Genomic DNA, 15,889 nt, shown 5'->3' on the forward strand with positions numbered 1-15,889 from the left:
TTGTATAATAAACTTTTACTGAATGTTTGGAGGCAACAAAGAAGAATCATAGTACAAATTTTAAAATAACTAAAAATTAAATATGCAACATCAGTGTTCTTGAATTTCCTTGGGCATCTTGATAATGCCTTCCTAGCTGGCTTTCTTGGCATCTGTTGAAATGGAATGGAGAGAATGAGTCTAAATAAAGCCATCACCACTACTCTAAGACCAATTTTGTGTTCCTTATCAATCCTAGAACCCATGTGACCCAGACTCACATGGAATTACAATGAAAGAGACAGTTCAGGAGTAAAAGTCACTTCAATCTCTGATTGTATCTGTTGAAGGCTATGAAAGACATTTAGTCCATAGTCTACTGAACCTTTCTTCTCTCTTCTCCTCCTGACCTTCTGCCGTGATTCCAGATCCTCTTACTCTCTACTCTACTCTCAATTCACCCCCAAGGCTCTTTGCAATGCCTAGCCTAAGCTGATTTTTAATCTATTTCCTTTTCTTTTAACATTAATTTACAGCAATTTAGCCTCTCAGGCTTCCTGTATTTTCTGTTTCGCCTAATTGGAGGTTTCAACATATTAGAAAAGAACCTGGGAGCTGACTGTTAAGCCAAAATCTTTCCCCAGTGAGAAAGGGAAGGGGAAGAGGAGAAGAAACAGAGGGAGGGAGGAGACATTTGAACACTGATCATTCCTGTCCCTATTATGCATTAATGGACTTCTCTGCTATAGTCCAGTAGACAAGCCGTCCTTAGGAGTTAGGAACATGGTAATGGCCTGTTAGGAAAGCAGTATCCAAACTGTCTCTATCTAGTGGTGGAAGTTTATAGAGCAGGAGTTCCCAAAGTGTGGTCCCTGGACCAGCAGCATCAGCATTGCCTAGGAACTTAGAAATGCAAACTGTCAGTTCCCTTTCCAGACCTACTGAATCAGACACTGGAGCTGGAGCCCAGCACTCTGTTTTAACAAACCCTCCGGATGATTTGGAAGCAGCTAAAGTTTGAGAAACACTACCCTGGACTTCTCCAGGCTAAGAAGCCCATTGAGCTGGATTTGGGCTTGGGATCTGCCTTTTTCTTCCTCTGTGACCTCTGTCACATCACTTAACCTCCCTGAGTCTGAGAGGAGATCTCACTGGAGGACTTTCTGCTGCAGAATCCCAGAGCTCCTCGTGTCAAAGGCTAGCCCCTGACAAGGTTCTCTTTTTTGATTTCTACCCTCAGCGACTCAACCTGCTTTTTCTCTCCCTGTGTCTTTGGGAAGCTGCCATCATTTGCTCTGTCCCCAAGTCTGGACACCATTTTAATAATAATAATAATAACAACAGCAACAACAGTTCCCATCTCTCTTGGTGATAGTTACTGGATACCCCTAAGAGCATGGTTTATATTCCTGAAGTTAGGGCTCACTAATGCCACCTTCCCTAGACACCCCCCAAATGAATTACTCAGTTTGTCCACTAATAAATGTATATTAGATGAACAGCTTACAGAATTAATTTTAGTTCTTCCCTCCAAATGGTCAAAATGATTGTTTGCGTGTGTAGATACAGCTTGAACAGACAGCTTGAACTTCTCCAGACTTTGGCTTCAAAGGCTCATTCCATTTCGTTGGGCTGGTATTAATCGTGCCTTTTTATTTTTATATTTCTGATGTGTTGACATTTTCAGGCCTTGCTGACCCTGGAGGGACTACCCCTCCCAAGGTTAGCTAATTACTAGAGAAAGCAGACAATTAGCTTGTGAATGCGCCTTTTACATACAAACCAACCAATCCAGAGCCCAAACCCACAAACACCTCCTTTATTGAACTCTCTCAGGATTCTTACACTCTGGGACCTGCCCTAATCACCCCAGGGCCAGCTACAAGACAGCTTGACACAGCTCCCGTACCCCAGAGCTCATTGAAAGTGCTCAAATTTGCCACGAACCTGCCTACTCAGCCTCGCCTGGTCCTTCCTGTGAAAACCACAATCGAGGCTCTTGCCTGTGTTTTCCTGCTTCCTCTGCCTCTTGAATGCTTCCCTATGTGGCCCTGTGCAACCTGCCACGCCTCCTGTTTCTAGGGATCTGTGAGCATGAAAACTTCTTCCTTCAGGACAGTTGTGTCCGTGTCTACGTTTCTGACTATACCTGGTTAACAACAAATCCTTTCTACCCTTAAAACAGGCACACACATTGAACTGGCAGTCCCAGGATCCACATAGTCAGCTTGCTCTTGGCCAATAGTGGGTTCAAATTCACTACTGGTATGCAAGCGCACTCTGAAAATCATCACTGTGGAACTGGGTAAAGCACTTTCCCATACAGAAATTGTTAGGTAAGTGGCTTACCTGTAAATAGAACAGTGCCCCAGCAAGGCCCACAATGTTTCTATTTTAAATACATCTCTCTTTACTCGTGTCACTTCCTAACCTCTCCTTTTTTTTTTTCCAGCATGCTCTTATTAATTATGTGTTAGAATCCTGAGCAGCAAGTTCTTTCATTTTAAGTCATTAAAAACTTGCTCTAGGAGTGCTGTGATTGGGAAGTAGAGCCTTTACACTTTACCCATTAGTGCCCACACAGAAGAATTTTGGTGGAATGGAGAATTGCTTCTGCCTGGCTTCTGATTTTGCTGGCTCAGGGCTTTTCAGGAGAGGGTGGCAATCAATCTTGATCAACATGGGACACATCCCTAGATGCTTCAATGAGCCAGAAGCCACAAAAGGAGAAGAAGGAGGTGGTTTGCCGGTTGTGGTGGCTCACGCCTGTAATCTCGCTACCTTTTTTAAAAAAATTATTTATGTATTTATTTTTGGGATGGAGTCTCGCTCTGTCACCCAGCTTGGAATGCAGGGGCACAATCTCGGCTCACTGCAACATCCACCTCTTGGGTTCAAGCAATTCTCCTGCCTCAGCCTCCTGAGTAGCTGGGACTACAGGTGTGCACCACCACACCCTGCCAATTTTTTTGTATTTTTAGTAGAGACGAGGTTTTGCCATGTGGGCCAGGCTGGTCTCAAACTCCTGATCTCAAGTGATCCGCCCACCTCAGCCTCCCAAAATGCTGGGATTACAGACATGAGCCACTGCACCCAGCCTAATCCTGGCACTTTGGGAGGCTGAGGAGGGAGGACCATTTGAGCCCAGGAGTTCAAGACCAGCCTGGGCAACATAGTGAGACTCTGTCTCTAATAAAGAAGAAGAAGAAAAAAGAAAGAGAAAGAGAAATAGGAAGGAGAAGAAGAAGGAGGAGGAGGAGGAAGAGGAGGAGGAGGATTCTAGAGAGCAGAGAGGTACTCTGGTACTGACCCTTCTGTGTGCTGGAAGGACGAAAGGCAAGAAGCAGAAAGCTATCTCCATGCCCTGGAAATGTGCTCAGCAGAAAGTATTTGGTTACCTAAACCAATGCTTCCTGAACGTTAATGTGCATATGAATGACCTGAAGCTTTTATTAAAATGTATATTTTAGACTCAGCGGGTCTGTGGTGGGCCTGAGTTTCTGCATTTCTAACAAGTGACCAGGTTATGCTGATCCTGCTGATGCACAGACCACATGTTGAGTAGCAAGGACCTAACTACTCCATTTGTGAGGTCCTTGGCTAAGAGGAGGAACTGTAATAACACAAGAGACTAATTAGCTGGGAGTAACAGTAAGCATTTCTGCTGAGTGTTATCATCAACCTCAACAGTGTAAGTTGTTAAAATATTATCTTAATTTGGAGTCTGTTTGTTTTCACGTTTTTCGGAAAACAAAATATTTTAAGTGGTATGTGTGTGTTATTGTTTTGTGCATGAGCATATGTTATATTTTCCCTTTCTTAGCCAAGTTTTTGCTTAAGTACAAAACTACTTCCTAGGGAGCATGACACGGGGGGATAAGCAATACTCCTCACCATGGCAGTGGTTCAGAGGCAGAGCACAGAGTTGAGAACCAGACAAGGCCATGAAAAGGCATGGAGGAATCTTTACCCATCAATGCTTCCCAGCCTGGGCCAAGCTGTCTTCCAAGATCTCATCTTGACCAGTCCTTCTCAGACTTGTTTCAGAGGCTGAGTGCTCAGAAATCACGATACTCCCTGCAAGACACAATGGGTAAAATGCTGGTATACGTATGTAATGATGATACAACTTCACTGACAGAAAATATGGCTCTAATAAGTGAATGTAACAAAATAACACCTACCTCTAAGTCCTTTTGGAAATGAAGCTGAGTTTCATTATTGGTAAAATGAAGGTAATAACCCCTATCTCACAGAGAGAGACCACTGATCCTTCAGTTCGAATCAAAGATATGCCAAAGATTTTTGCTTCTAGTGCTTGTGTAGCAATCACCGTAAGACAAATGGCACAGCAAGCAGGACTTCACTGTTACTGGCTGCCGTTTATTTAGCATCTATCATACACCAGATACTATGCTAAGGGCCTTACGAACCTCTCATTAAATGTGACAAGAACTCATTTAGGAAAACATTTTTCTCTATTCTAACAATGAGAAACGCTGAGATGGTGGTATCTTGCTAGCTCGCTAGAAATTTACCTTTTTTATCAAGAAATTAAGATGTAGCTTTTGACCAGACACATCCCCATAGCAGTATTTCTTAATCTTTTTTTGTGTGTGTGTCACAATCCCTCTGAAAATCCACCAAAGGCCATAAACCTTCCCAGAAAAATGCACATAAGCAAACACAGCACTTTGTATTCAACTTCAGTGGGCTCATGGGCCCCAAGAAAGGACACGGTGCTGCTGAGTGGAAGACGAGGAGGGCTTTAATAGTCTTCAGGCTGAACTTGAGCTGTCCTTTCAAGCACTGATCTGAAATGTTTTCCTTAGCCATTTTCCTGACTATTATATTTTTCAAATATTTATATTGATAAAAGATAAAACAAACCCTAAAATGTCAAAAATACTCTTTGGCAACAGGTAGCCTATAGAGTTTCCCCCCTTTTTTTTTAAACCATCAGTCATCAAAAAGACTTTCTATTCTGAATAGACAATACCAGTTCAGATTAGCAAACAACCCAGAGAATACTTGTTTCTCTTTCTTAGTATCTGAATGAAACAAGATACTTAACACAAAACAACATTGTTGCTCCCTCCTGGTTTCTTAACATAAGAAGAGGCTTGAGCTGTTGACAAAAAAATACAGAGGTGAGAAATATAGTTGGTTTCTATAACCCCCAAATATGAAGATAAAAAATGTGGGAGGTAGGAGGAAGGAAGAAAGGGAGGGAGGAAAGAGAAATAAGAAAGAAGCAACCAGATATTTACATTTAGACTAATTTGAAATGGACTTTTATCATACATCTTGTAGATCCACATGTGCTCTCTGGACCAACAAAGTGTGCTTGTTGGACCAGCAGCATCAATATCTCCTGGGAACTTACTAAAATGCAGATTCTCAGGTTCCACCCCAGGCCTTTTGTATCAGAAACTCTGGGGGCGAGACCTAGCAGTCTGGTTTCTTTTTTTCTTTTCCTAAATAAGTTTATTTCCTAAAGACTCAATGTTTTAGAGTAGTTTTAGGTTCATAGCAAAATTGAGAGGAAGGTACAGAGATTTCCTATATACCCATTGCCCCTACAAATGCATAGCCTCTCCCATTATCAACATCCCCCACCAGAGTGGTACATTTGTTACAATGGATGAACCTACATGAACAGATCATTATCACCCAAAGTCCATACATTACATTAAGGGCTCACTCTTGCTATTGTACATTCTATTGGTTTGGACAAATGTCTAATGACATGTATCCACCATTGTAGTATTATATAGAATAGTTTCACTGCTCTGAAATTCCTCTGTGCTCTGCCTACTTATCCCTCTCTCCCCTTTACCCTTAGCAACCACTGATCCTTTTACTGTCTCCATAGTTTGTCTTTTCTAGAATTTCCTATAGTCGTAACTATACAGACTGTAGCCGTTTCAGATTGGCTTCTTTCACTTAGTAATATGCACTTAAGTTTTCTCCAAGTCTTTTTATGGCTTAACATTAGGTTGGTGCAAAAGTAATTGTGGGTTTTGCCATTAACCATATAAATAATGTCAAACATCGCGATTACTTTTGCACCAACCTGATAGCTCATTTGAATGGAATGATATTCCACTGTCTGCATCTACTGCAGTTTATTTGTCCATTCACCTGCTGAAGGGCATCTTGGTTACTTCCAAAGTTTAGCAATTATGAAAAAAACTGCTATAAACATTCATATGCAGGTTTCTGTCTAGACATAAGTTTTTAACTCCTTTAGGTAAATACCAGGGAGCATGATTGCTAGATTGTATGGTAAGAGTACACTTAGTTTTGTAAAAATTTGGCAAATTGTCTTCCAAAGTGGCTGTACCATTTTGCATTGCCATCAGCAATAAATGAGAGTTTTTATTGCTCCACATCCTCACCAGCATTTGGTGTTCTGGATTTTGGCCATTCTCATAGATGTGTTATGTTCAGCAGTCTGTTTTAACAAACCCTCAAGGTGATTCTGGTGCACTAAACATTGAAAACCATGACTGTGGACAGATCTTCTCTCATAGAAGTAGCCCTCCCAGCTGGTCCTGATTCAATCTGCTGACCTTGTAATGAAACAGAATAAAGAGGAGGACAATGGGGAGGAAAGCAGTGTTTATTGAGCGACCACAACATGCCAGGCACTGTATCATTATAATTTCATTTTATTCTTCCATAGAAGCTAAGAAATTTTTACTCTTGTCCCCATTTTAAAGATTTTTTGAAATGAGATTCCAAGCCATAGTAATGTTTAAGCTTACAGACCTACTAAGTAGTGAGTTCACATTAGGGAATTTGAAAAGTACAAAAGTTATAAAGAAGAATATAGGAATTACCCACAACCCCATTCAAAACAACATTATTATTTAGTGTAAGTCCTCACAGTATTTTTTTTTTCCTGTGTAAAACTCCTTTGGATTTCAGGCTGCTCTGTGGTCTCTCATAGAATTTAGGCTCCAGAGTGGGTCCTTTGCTCTGAGATCTGAAGACCTAGGAACTAATGCCTCCACCTTCAGCTTTGTTCTAATCTCTCCTAAAAGCAAGTATCTAGATCCTTTTATTCTCCCTACATCCCTACATTTGATAATATACAGAAGCAAGAGCTTAGTAAATCAAACAAGTGAGCTGAAGTAGGTGCTGAAAGTTGACCTAAAACAAACTGGGAGCTAAGACTCTACTCCAAGACAGAACAGAAATGGACTTGGAGCCAGATATAGAACAAGTTATTTATGCTCAGTTCTCTAGGAAAAGGATGGAGGCTTGTTCTGAGATGTGTGCATCTTGTGCTGGGGGCTGGAGGGAGCTGCTGTTCCTGGAACACTCTGCAAGTGTCTGTTCTGGGAGGGGCATCATGGTCGCTGCATCCCAAGCCAGGCATATTGTGCATCAGAGTCAACGAATGGAAGTCATCAGAATTCTGGATGACACTCTGTGATGCTTGGATGGTTCTCTACTTAACCCCCTGTGGAGGCTGCTGTGTATCTGTTTCATGCCAGACTCGGAGAAAATAGTAAAGATAAAAGACAGAAGGCTTATAGCTGTTTTCATAAAGTGTTTGTTTTCCTTGCTGTTAAGACCACTTGTCCAAGTGAATCATTTGGGGTTATATTTTACTAAAGCACCTCAAAAAAAGCCAAAATATTTTTAGAATCTATAGCTGTGGGTGATCCAAACATAATGAGCTTCCTCCTTCTGAAAAAAAAAAAAAAAAAAAAAAAAAACAGAAAGAAAAGAAAAAAGGAAAGCCTAGGTTTTTTTTCCTCCAACCCTGCCTCTGAGTTTGAAACCTACAAGCAATTGCTGCCCCTCCCTCCCAAACCCTTAGTTTTTACCCAACATAAAATGAAAATGAAGATAACATGGAAGGATTTCATGACAGAGATGTGTCATATTCAGGCTGTGGATAATTGAAATTTACGATTAACAATTTTGTCAGAAGAATGCCTTTTAGTCCCCGGGGTCCTTTATTGTGTATGCTAATAGGACAATTTAGGATAAAGACAGGGAGTGGGTTATAAAGAGAAAAGCTTCATTATGTAAGTTAAGGAGTAATACAACGCATTCACTAATGAGAAGTTTTAACATATTTTACTTATCTACATTTGAACAGACAATACATTCATATAGTTCAAAACTCAGGCTGGGTGCATTGGCTCACGCCTGTAATCGCAGCAGTTTAGGAGGCCAAGGCAGGTGGATCACCTGAGGTCAGGGGTTTGAGACCAGCCTGGTCAACATGATGAAACCCCATCTCTACTTAAGAAAAAAAAAAAAAATTAGCCAGGCATGGTGGTGCGCACCTGTCATCCCAGATATTCGGGAGGCTGGGGCAGGAGAATCGCTTGAACCTGGGAGGTGGAGGTTGCAGTGAGTCGAGATCACACCACTGCACTCCAGCCTGGCGACAGAGGGAGACTCTGTCTTAAAAAAAAAAAAAAAAAAAAAAAATCAAACTGTATGAAAGGATAGGGAATGAAAAGAACCCTTTCACATCCTTGTTCTTCACCCCCAGCTTTCCTGAGGCCATGAGAGCTACCAGAGTGTTTGGTATGCTGTCAGATGTGTGCTATGGATAAACCAGCAACACACACATATTCTTATACTCTGTTTTTTAATGCAAATGGCAACATTCACTACACTTTGTTCTATGCCTTGTTTCTACACCTGAGGATGTCTCTTAAATGTTTTTGTTTCAATGTATAAAGAACTTCCACGTACATGAGCCCTACCTTAGAATCATCCCCCATAGTAGAGGTTTCTCTTTTTTTTTTTTTTTTTTTTTTTTTTTTTTGAGACGGAGTCTCGCTCTCGCCCAGGCTGGAGTGCAGTGGCGCGATCTCGGCTCTCTGCAAGCTCCGCCTCCCAGGTTCACGCCATTCTCCTGCCTCAGCCTCCCGAGTAGCTGGGGCTACAGGCACCTGCTACCACGCCTGGCTAATTTTTTTGTATTTTTAGTAGAGACGGGGTTTCACCATGTTAGCCAGGATGGTCTCGATCTCCTGACCTCGTGATCCGCCCGCCTTGGCCTCCCAAAGTGCTGGGATTACAGGCGTGAGCCACCGCGCCCGGCCGGTTTCTCTTCTTTTATTGTTTTCTGCCTCTGCTTTCATTGTAAGCCTTCTTTAGTATTCATCTTTTATTTCATCCGGCTTAAAGGAAGAAGACCAGATCTTTGTGCAGTAGGGACCCTAAGCTTTGAAGAACTCTAGTGATAGCAGGTCAGAAGAAAATTCCTGAGATTGGGAGCTTGCACCTTTCTGAAGAAACAGACATGCAACAGGATGTAAGGAGAAAGGAGTAGAGACGAGACAGGAAATGGAATCAAGAAGAAAGACAAAGGCAGTGGGAAAGAACCAGGCATTTGCAATAATATAGATAATTTGGGTGACTGAACTAGTAAAAACCTGTTTTTCTGTGTGAGAAGTCTGTGTTAAATGTATAGAGGCAGCTAATATATTAGAGCAGTAGAGAGGAATTATGCTGATGTACAGACTGAAATGTACATGATTAGCTCTAGAGATTAATATAGTCTCTATAGATGTGACTGTACGTTGATGCAGTTCTAATGGCTGATTTGGAAAATAAAATCAAAATGATTAAAAATGTACCTGAGGCCAGATGCAGTGGCTTACACCTGCAATCCCAGCATTTTGGGAGGCTGAAGTGGGAGGATCGTTGAGGCCAGGAGTTCAAGACCAGCCTGGGCTACATAGTGAGACCTCATCTCTACCAAAAAAAAAAAAAAAAAAAAAACCCACAAAAAACACCCACAGTATAAAATTGCCCATAAACTGCAATTATTTTAAGGAAACAATAATGAACAAAGTTGTCACATCATTTACAAAAGCAAAAATTTAGAAACATCTAAATATCCAATGTAGTGGGTTAATGTAGTAAATTATTGTGTATCCATAAACTGAAATACTATCAGCTATAAAATATGTGTTTACAGGTATGGGAGAATGTTCTCCATACATTTCTAAATTAAAAGAATAATTATACAGCTAAAAGGCTACTCTGTATATCTATTTTATTGATTTAATTTCTTTTCTTTTTTTTTTTTTAATTTTTACAAACAGGGTCTCACTGTGTTGCCCAGGCTGGAGTGTAGTGGCATGATTATCACTCACTGTAACCTTGAACTCCTGGGCTCAAGTGATCCTCCCACCTCAGCCTCCCAAGTAGCTAGGACTACAGGAGTGCACCACCACGCCCACACCTAGCTATTTTTTTTTTTTTTTGTAGTGATGGGGGTCTTTCTATGTTGCCCAGGCTGATCTTGAACTCTTAGCCTCAAGCAATCCTCCTGGGATTATAGGCGTGAGTCACCATGCCCTGTCTATATATTTATTTTAGTATATTAATAATAGCAAATGTTTATTGAGATTCACCATTTACCAGAAGCTCTTTGTGGTGTTTTAAACTCATTAAAACTTACAATCCATAAATTAGGAGCTACAATAATTTCCAATTTGCCCACAAGAAAACTAAGGCACAGAGCAGTTGAGCAACTTGAGTAATAGTTGGCACGTGGAAGGGCTGCATCTTTGACCCTGCTTTTCTAGCTATAGAGCCAGGTCCACATGTGATAATGCCTACCTGTGTAGTGAAAAACCTAGGTAACAAAATAGAATTCGGTTTTTGAACAGTGACCAATGCGGGGGATAATGTATCTCTGCATGGGAAGAAGTTATCCTCAGTGGGGGACTGAGGAGGTGGGTGTGAGGGGATTTTGCCTGTGTTGCAATGGTTTATTTCTGATAAGCCTAATATGGATAACTAAAATCAAGGGTAAAAAACTAAATTTAAGGAGACCTGGAAAGGACCAAAATGAATCAACTTAGTATCTTAAAGATGATATAATCACAAAATATGCCATGAAAGCATTCAGATTTTTTAAAACAACAAACAACATGCAAGTGTTAATAAATCTGAACTTGCAGTGATCTACTGTTTATTCATATGATAATTTCTTTAGTTTAAAATGATTGCTTAGGATTCATTTTATAAGTGTGCTCTCCTCAAGCACTTTAAACTAAAATATTAAAAATAAAAGAGTAAAACGAGGCTGTTACAGACAAAACAAAGTCCAAAAACATCCCAATATTCAGCTTACATATTGAATAACTGTGTGGGAAGACATTGGCCATCTTTTGTAACTTGTCCTTGGAAGTGCTTTCAAAACCACTTTCATTATTAAGTATTCCACGTTGTTTTTAACAAGATTATTTCACCTACACTATTTACCATACTTGTCACCAAATGATTATGTTTCCAGAAGTTCAACCTCACTGAAAATGATGACAATTTGTCACCACAGAGGATATTTTAATAAATGGACTTCAGTTTTCAAGATTCAAAGCAATATTTCCATAATATATTTAGTTATGTCAATATTGTTGGAATATGTATATCTTTCTAACATGGCTCCTGACAAATTCTGACATTTTTGTTTAAAAACAAAGCTAGTTACATTGTCAGAGGTATTTGAATCAGAGCAACTCCATCTTGAATAGGGGCTGAGCGAAATAAGGCTAACACCTGCTGGGCTGCATTCCCAGTAAGTTAAGGCATACTTAGTCACAGGATGAGATGGACAGTCAGCACAAGATACCGGTCATAAAGACCTTTCTGATGAAACAGAGTGCAGTAAAGAAGCTGGCCAAAACCCACCAAAACCAAGATGGTAATGAGAGTGACCTCCAGTTGTCCTCACTGCTACACTCCCACCAGCACCATGACAGTTTACAAATGCCATGGCAACATCAGGAAGTTACCCTATGTGGTCTAAAAAGGGGAGGCATGAATACTACACCCCTTGTTTAGCGTATAATCAAGAAATAATCATAAAAATGGGCAACCAGCAGCCCCTAGAGCTGCTCTTCCTATAGAATAGCCAGTCTTTTATTCCTTTACTTTCCTAATAAACTTGCTTTTACTTTACTGTATGGACTCACTCCAAATTCTTTCCTGCATGAAATCCAAGAACCCTCTAGAGTCTGGATCAGGACCCCTTTTTGGTAAGAACATTGCTTTATGTAACTTCGTGTGTGTGTGTGTGTGTGTGTGTGTGTGTGTGTGTGTGTGTGTGTGTATGTCATACATTGAGCTACATTTATGTACTCATATCCAGAATTTATGTTAAGGCATGTGGGCACAGTACTCCTTAAAGTACAATAAACACTATTTACCCCCTCATTGCGTAATGGCCTGGAGCCTAGAGCAAACTAAAATAAACTACACTAATTTTTCAGTTGTATGTTAAAACCTTAAATTCACCACATAAATATCCCAAAACCAACTCAGAGCAGTAAGCTGATGGCTGGATAGAAGCACAATCAGAGGGATTATTCTGAGGGAGCAGGGGAAACGTGTTTCTTGACCTTCTGTTCTGAAAGGCTTCTTTTCATCTGGTTTCAATTCTCTTGTTTGTGCACCTTGCCATATTTATTATTGAATTCCTGGTTTCTTCTTGTTTTATGTTCCATGTTCCAATGATTTATGAGAAATTGCTGATCTAGATGTTATCTTTGGCATTCAAAGAGTGCACAGAGCCCCTTAAGAATGCTGAGAGAATAAATGTGTTTTGAGCTGCACAATACCCAAGCTGAACAGATGTCCATCAATTCATGAAAAATGCCAGCTGAAGATGCTTTAATAAGATGCATTTTTCTTCAACACAGCAGCAGCAAGAATGTTTTCAAAATCGCAGATAATTTTCCCTCTTTGGTAGATGATTGTGGTTAGAAATGATAAGACTTGGTTCTAAAATATTCATATGAGAAAAACTCTGGTCAAAGATAGATTTTTTTTTTTTAGCTCAGAATAAAGTGGCACATTTTTTACATCAGGGAATTGTCTTGTTAGGTTGACTAAGAAATGGAATATGCTAATGACATTTCAGTTAATTTCTAAACATCTCCATGAAGATGATCTAGTTTAAGTGAGTAGGGGGTGAGAATTTCTTTAATGGTGACCAGTTTTTTTCTTGCTTAACTAAGTGAAAACTAATTAGCAAGTCAAATGTGCTCAGAAGAAGTCATCTAATTAGATAAATTTTACAGACTAATCAAAGTAGTTAGGGAATTTTCCCTAGACTTCCTTCTCTCCACTATGGGAGGTTAAACACATCCCCAGAAAACATTGCCCTTACCAAACTTTATCATCCTATGCAAGTCTTTCTGTAATCAAACTTGCCAAAATATTATATCCAATACTGTAATGCAGACATGTATGCAGATTCCTTCATGGGCTTAGTGTTCCGTGAATTTTCCCATAGAATTTAATAATTTTTAAGAAGGAGATGTGTCAATATATCAAGTCCTAATTATTTAAAATTACATTCTTCATTCTTTTCTATCTTATTTTTCAGAGTTAAATCAGAAAAGTAACACACAGAATAAAGAAAACATGTAAAGAGGTTAAGAAAAACTATAATAAACAGTGTACTTGCCATAAAAGGTGTATAATAATAGGAGAAAAGATGTCTTTTTATTTCATGACAATAAGAGAGAGAATAGATACCTTCACCTGTTTCATCACACACATGAATCAGCTATGATGGAACACCTAGAGTAGTCAATACTTTTCTTGTTAGATAGTTAAACAAATTTGGCAAGCAAGTAAAGATTATCTTAATAAATCAAATGTTCATTTCTGCAATTCCAAATACTGAAATCACTGCGTATCTAAGGAATAATATAAAAGACTGTAGGGTTCCTCTGTAAATTTCAAGAATTAAAGGATATATATGTACATATATCTCAATCTTGGCTAAGGACCAATTTTTTATTTTCAGGGTTGTCCTTATAGAGCTCATCAACTTAGTTTCCAAAACCCAAATGTTAAATATTCTATGGTGTAAAATGTTTATATCTAGATGGTGAGATTAAGTATGGTTTTCAATTTCTTCTTTAGGCGTTCCCATTTTATATTTTTAAAAAACTAGTCAAGTATGGTTGTGGGAGGAGACAATGTTACTCAGCTTAACAATAACCCAGCACCCTCAGACCAACTATTTTGTATTGTTTTTATGGTGTTTATTTTTATAGTGCTTATTACTTTTATAACTAGGAGGAAGGATATTGAAAAGAAAATCCTGGGCTATCAAACACACATGGAAGTGCACAATGATGAGTTTTGAGACAGATTTTCACGAGGATGGCTTCTTACCTACTCTACGTTCTGGGATTCAGAAACTTAGCCATAAATGTAATCCTGTATCCATCTAAGTTAGGTACCTAGATGTATTTTCTAAGAATTTTGTTAAAAAGTTTGATTAAGAACTGATCCCACATTAAGAAATGATTTATGATAAAGTTAATAAACATTTGAGCCAAGCCCCAAAGCAAAACAACAACTATATAGTTTACAAACACTACTATATTCCCCCAAAACTGTTTACTCTAGGATACAGATGAATGATCCACCATAAATGGTTATAGAAACTCCTATGGAAGCCCCGGTCCTGTCCAGATTTTTGTATTCTCTCATAACCTAGTTCAGTATCATCCACAGCTACCTCTGTATGCACAATGGACCGTATCACATGGCAGTCTTGAGTCCTCACGATAGCACTTGATTTCTTTATATTGTACTTGAATCCTTAGTATTTCTGTCTCCAATTGTCTAAATCTCAGACTTTAAGAAACAATGTCTTCTTTAACTTTGTTGCTAATTGCCAGCTACTTCAATCTCTAAATGCTGTATCACAGACCTTTGCAAATGTAACACTGTTCAAATGCTATAAATGTCCACTCTTGTTCCCTGTTACAAAATACCTCCTTCTCTCTCAGACAATGGATGTAGAGAGATTTTTAGACCTCCTTGATTTGCCAGGCAGTGGACTGTTTTCATTTATAATGAAGATAGAAGCTGTTACTCCTTCTTTACAAACTGACTCTGTTTTAGCCTAATGCCAGTAAGAACTTAGGCCTCCACACCATTTTTACATAAGAAACACAATCATTGTCAGCATTTTGAGATTTTAAAAAATAGACTTTATTAAAAATTTCAAAGACGAAACACAGAAGAGGTCTTACATCACATATCCTCATCAAATTGTTTCAAACATCCTCATCAGAGCTAACTATCCTCCCCCGACTCTCCAACTTTGCTGCCAGCTGGGGTTTTCCTTGTCCCCTTCAACCCTCATAGAGCCCCCAGCCCCACTGATTCCTTTTCCTCCCTCCAGTCTATCACCTGCAGCCTGCATAATTATACACCCAGTTATCAGCAAATTAAACTTCTTTAAAAAGTGAAGGGGGTTAGGAATAACAATGTTATTTTCCTCTATTCCATTCACATTAAGTGCTCACAACAAGCCTTTGTGATAGGTTTCATCACCCCAAGTTTGCATTAAAGAATGTCCAGAGTACAAGCCAAGGTTCTCTTCAGAGTTTCATTCTAAACTATTATATCATGTCATTTCCTCATACAGTCATAAGACATCTGTCTAACCCTCACATAAATGTATGCAAAATGCCCAAACATCAAAATTCAGATAGCTATAGATACAGGGATGGTTTCCAAAATTCAGACAGCTATAGATAACAGGGATGGTTTCCATAATTCAAGACAGGAAATAACCACAGAATTGGTTTTGTTTGTCTTTTTGTTTTAATAATGAAGGAGAATATCTCAATGTAAAATCCAACTTTGGAAGTTGCCTCTTTCAAAAAAAAAATTAGGACAGCTTATCTATCCCATCTATCAGAGTCACATTGAAAAAACAATTTTCAGGCATCAGATATTTATGCAGAGTAACATAGAATGAAATATTCTTAACCCCCAGCATTTATAAAGATGCATGCAGCAGCAGATAAACTGTGTGGTGGGGCCATGGAAGTAGAAATACAGTTAGTAAAGATTCTGTAGTTTAAAATTTGGTCTTGAGAACTGC

General features: G+C 39.3%; 1 long non-coding RNA gene and 1 pseudogene across 1 annotated transcript in view, besides 2 other annotated features; one reads left to right on the plus strand and one right to left on the minus strand.

The window, feature by feature from the left end:
* Window positions 1-9,455, plus strand: part of LOC105374211 (uncharacterized) — a 69,709-nt gene extending 60,254 nt beyond the window's left edge. Inside the window, exon 3 of the long non-coding RNA XR_924701.2 lies at window positions 9,145-9,455. This is a non-coding gene — a long non-coding RNA (uncharacterized LOC105374211). The remainder of the gene's footprint in view (window positions 1-9,144) is intronic.
* Window positions 7,135-7,698: an enhancer, noted in NCBI's record as "NANOG hESC enhancer chr3:170553092-170553655 (GRCh37/hg19 assembly coordinates)". NCBI's record gives its function as "activates a minimal SCP1, AML or CMV promoter by ChIP-STARR-seq in naive H9 embryonic stem cells {active_cell/tissue: H9 hESC(naive)}" and the evidence as "EXISTENCE:reporter gene assay evidence [ECO:0000049][PMID:30033119]".
* Window positions 11,498-11,698: a silencer, noted in NCBI's record as "peak4920 fragment used in MPRA reporter construct". NCBI's record gives its function as "represses an SCP1 promoter by STARR-seq MPRAs in K562 erythroleukemia cells {active_cell/tissue: K562}" and the evidence as "EXISTENCE:reporter gene assay evidence [ECO:0000049][PMID:32103011]".
* On the minus strand, window positions 13,930-14,004 carry RNY5P3 (RNY5 pseudogene 3; annotated as a pseudogene).

Source organism: Homo sapiens, chromosome 3 (genome assembly GCF_000001405.40).
Source record: "Homo sapiens chromosome 3, GRCh38.p14 Primary Assembly".
NCBI classification, from domain to species: Eukaryota; Metazoa; Chordata; class Mammalia; order Primates; family Hominidae; genus Homo; species Homo sapiens.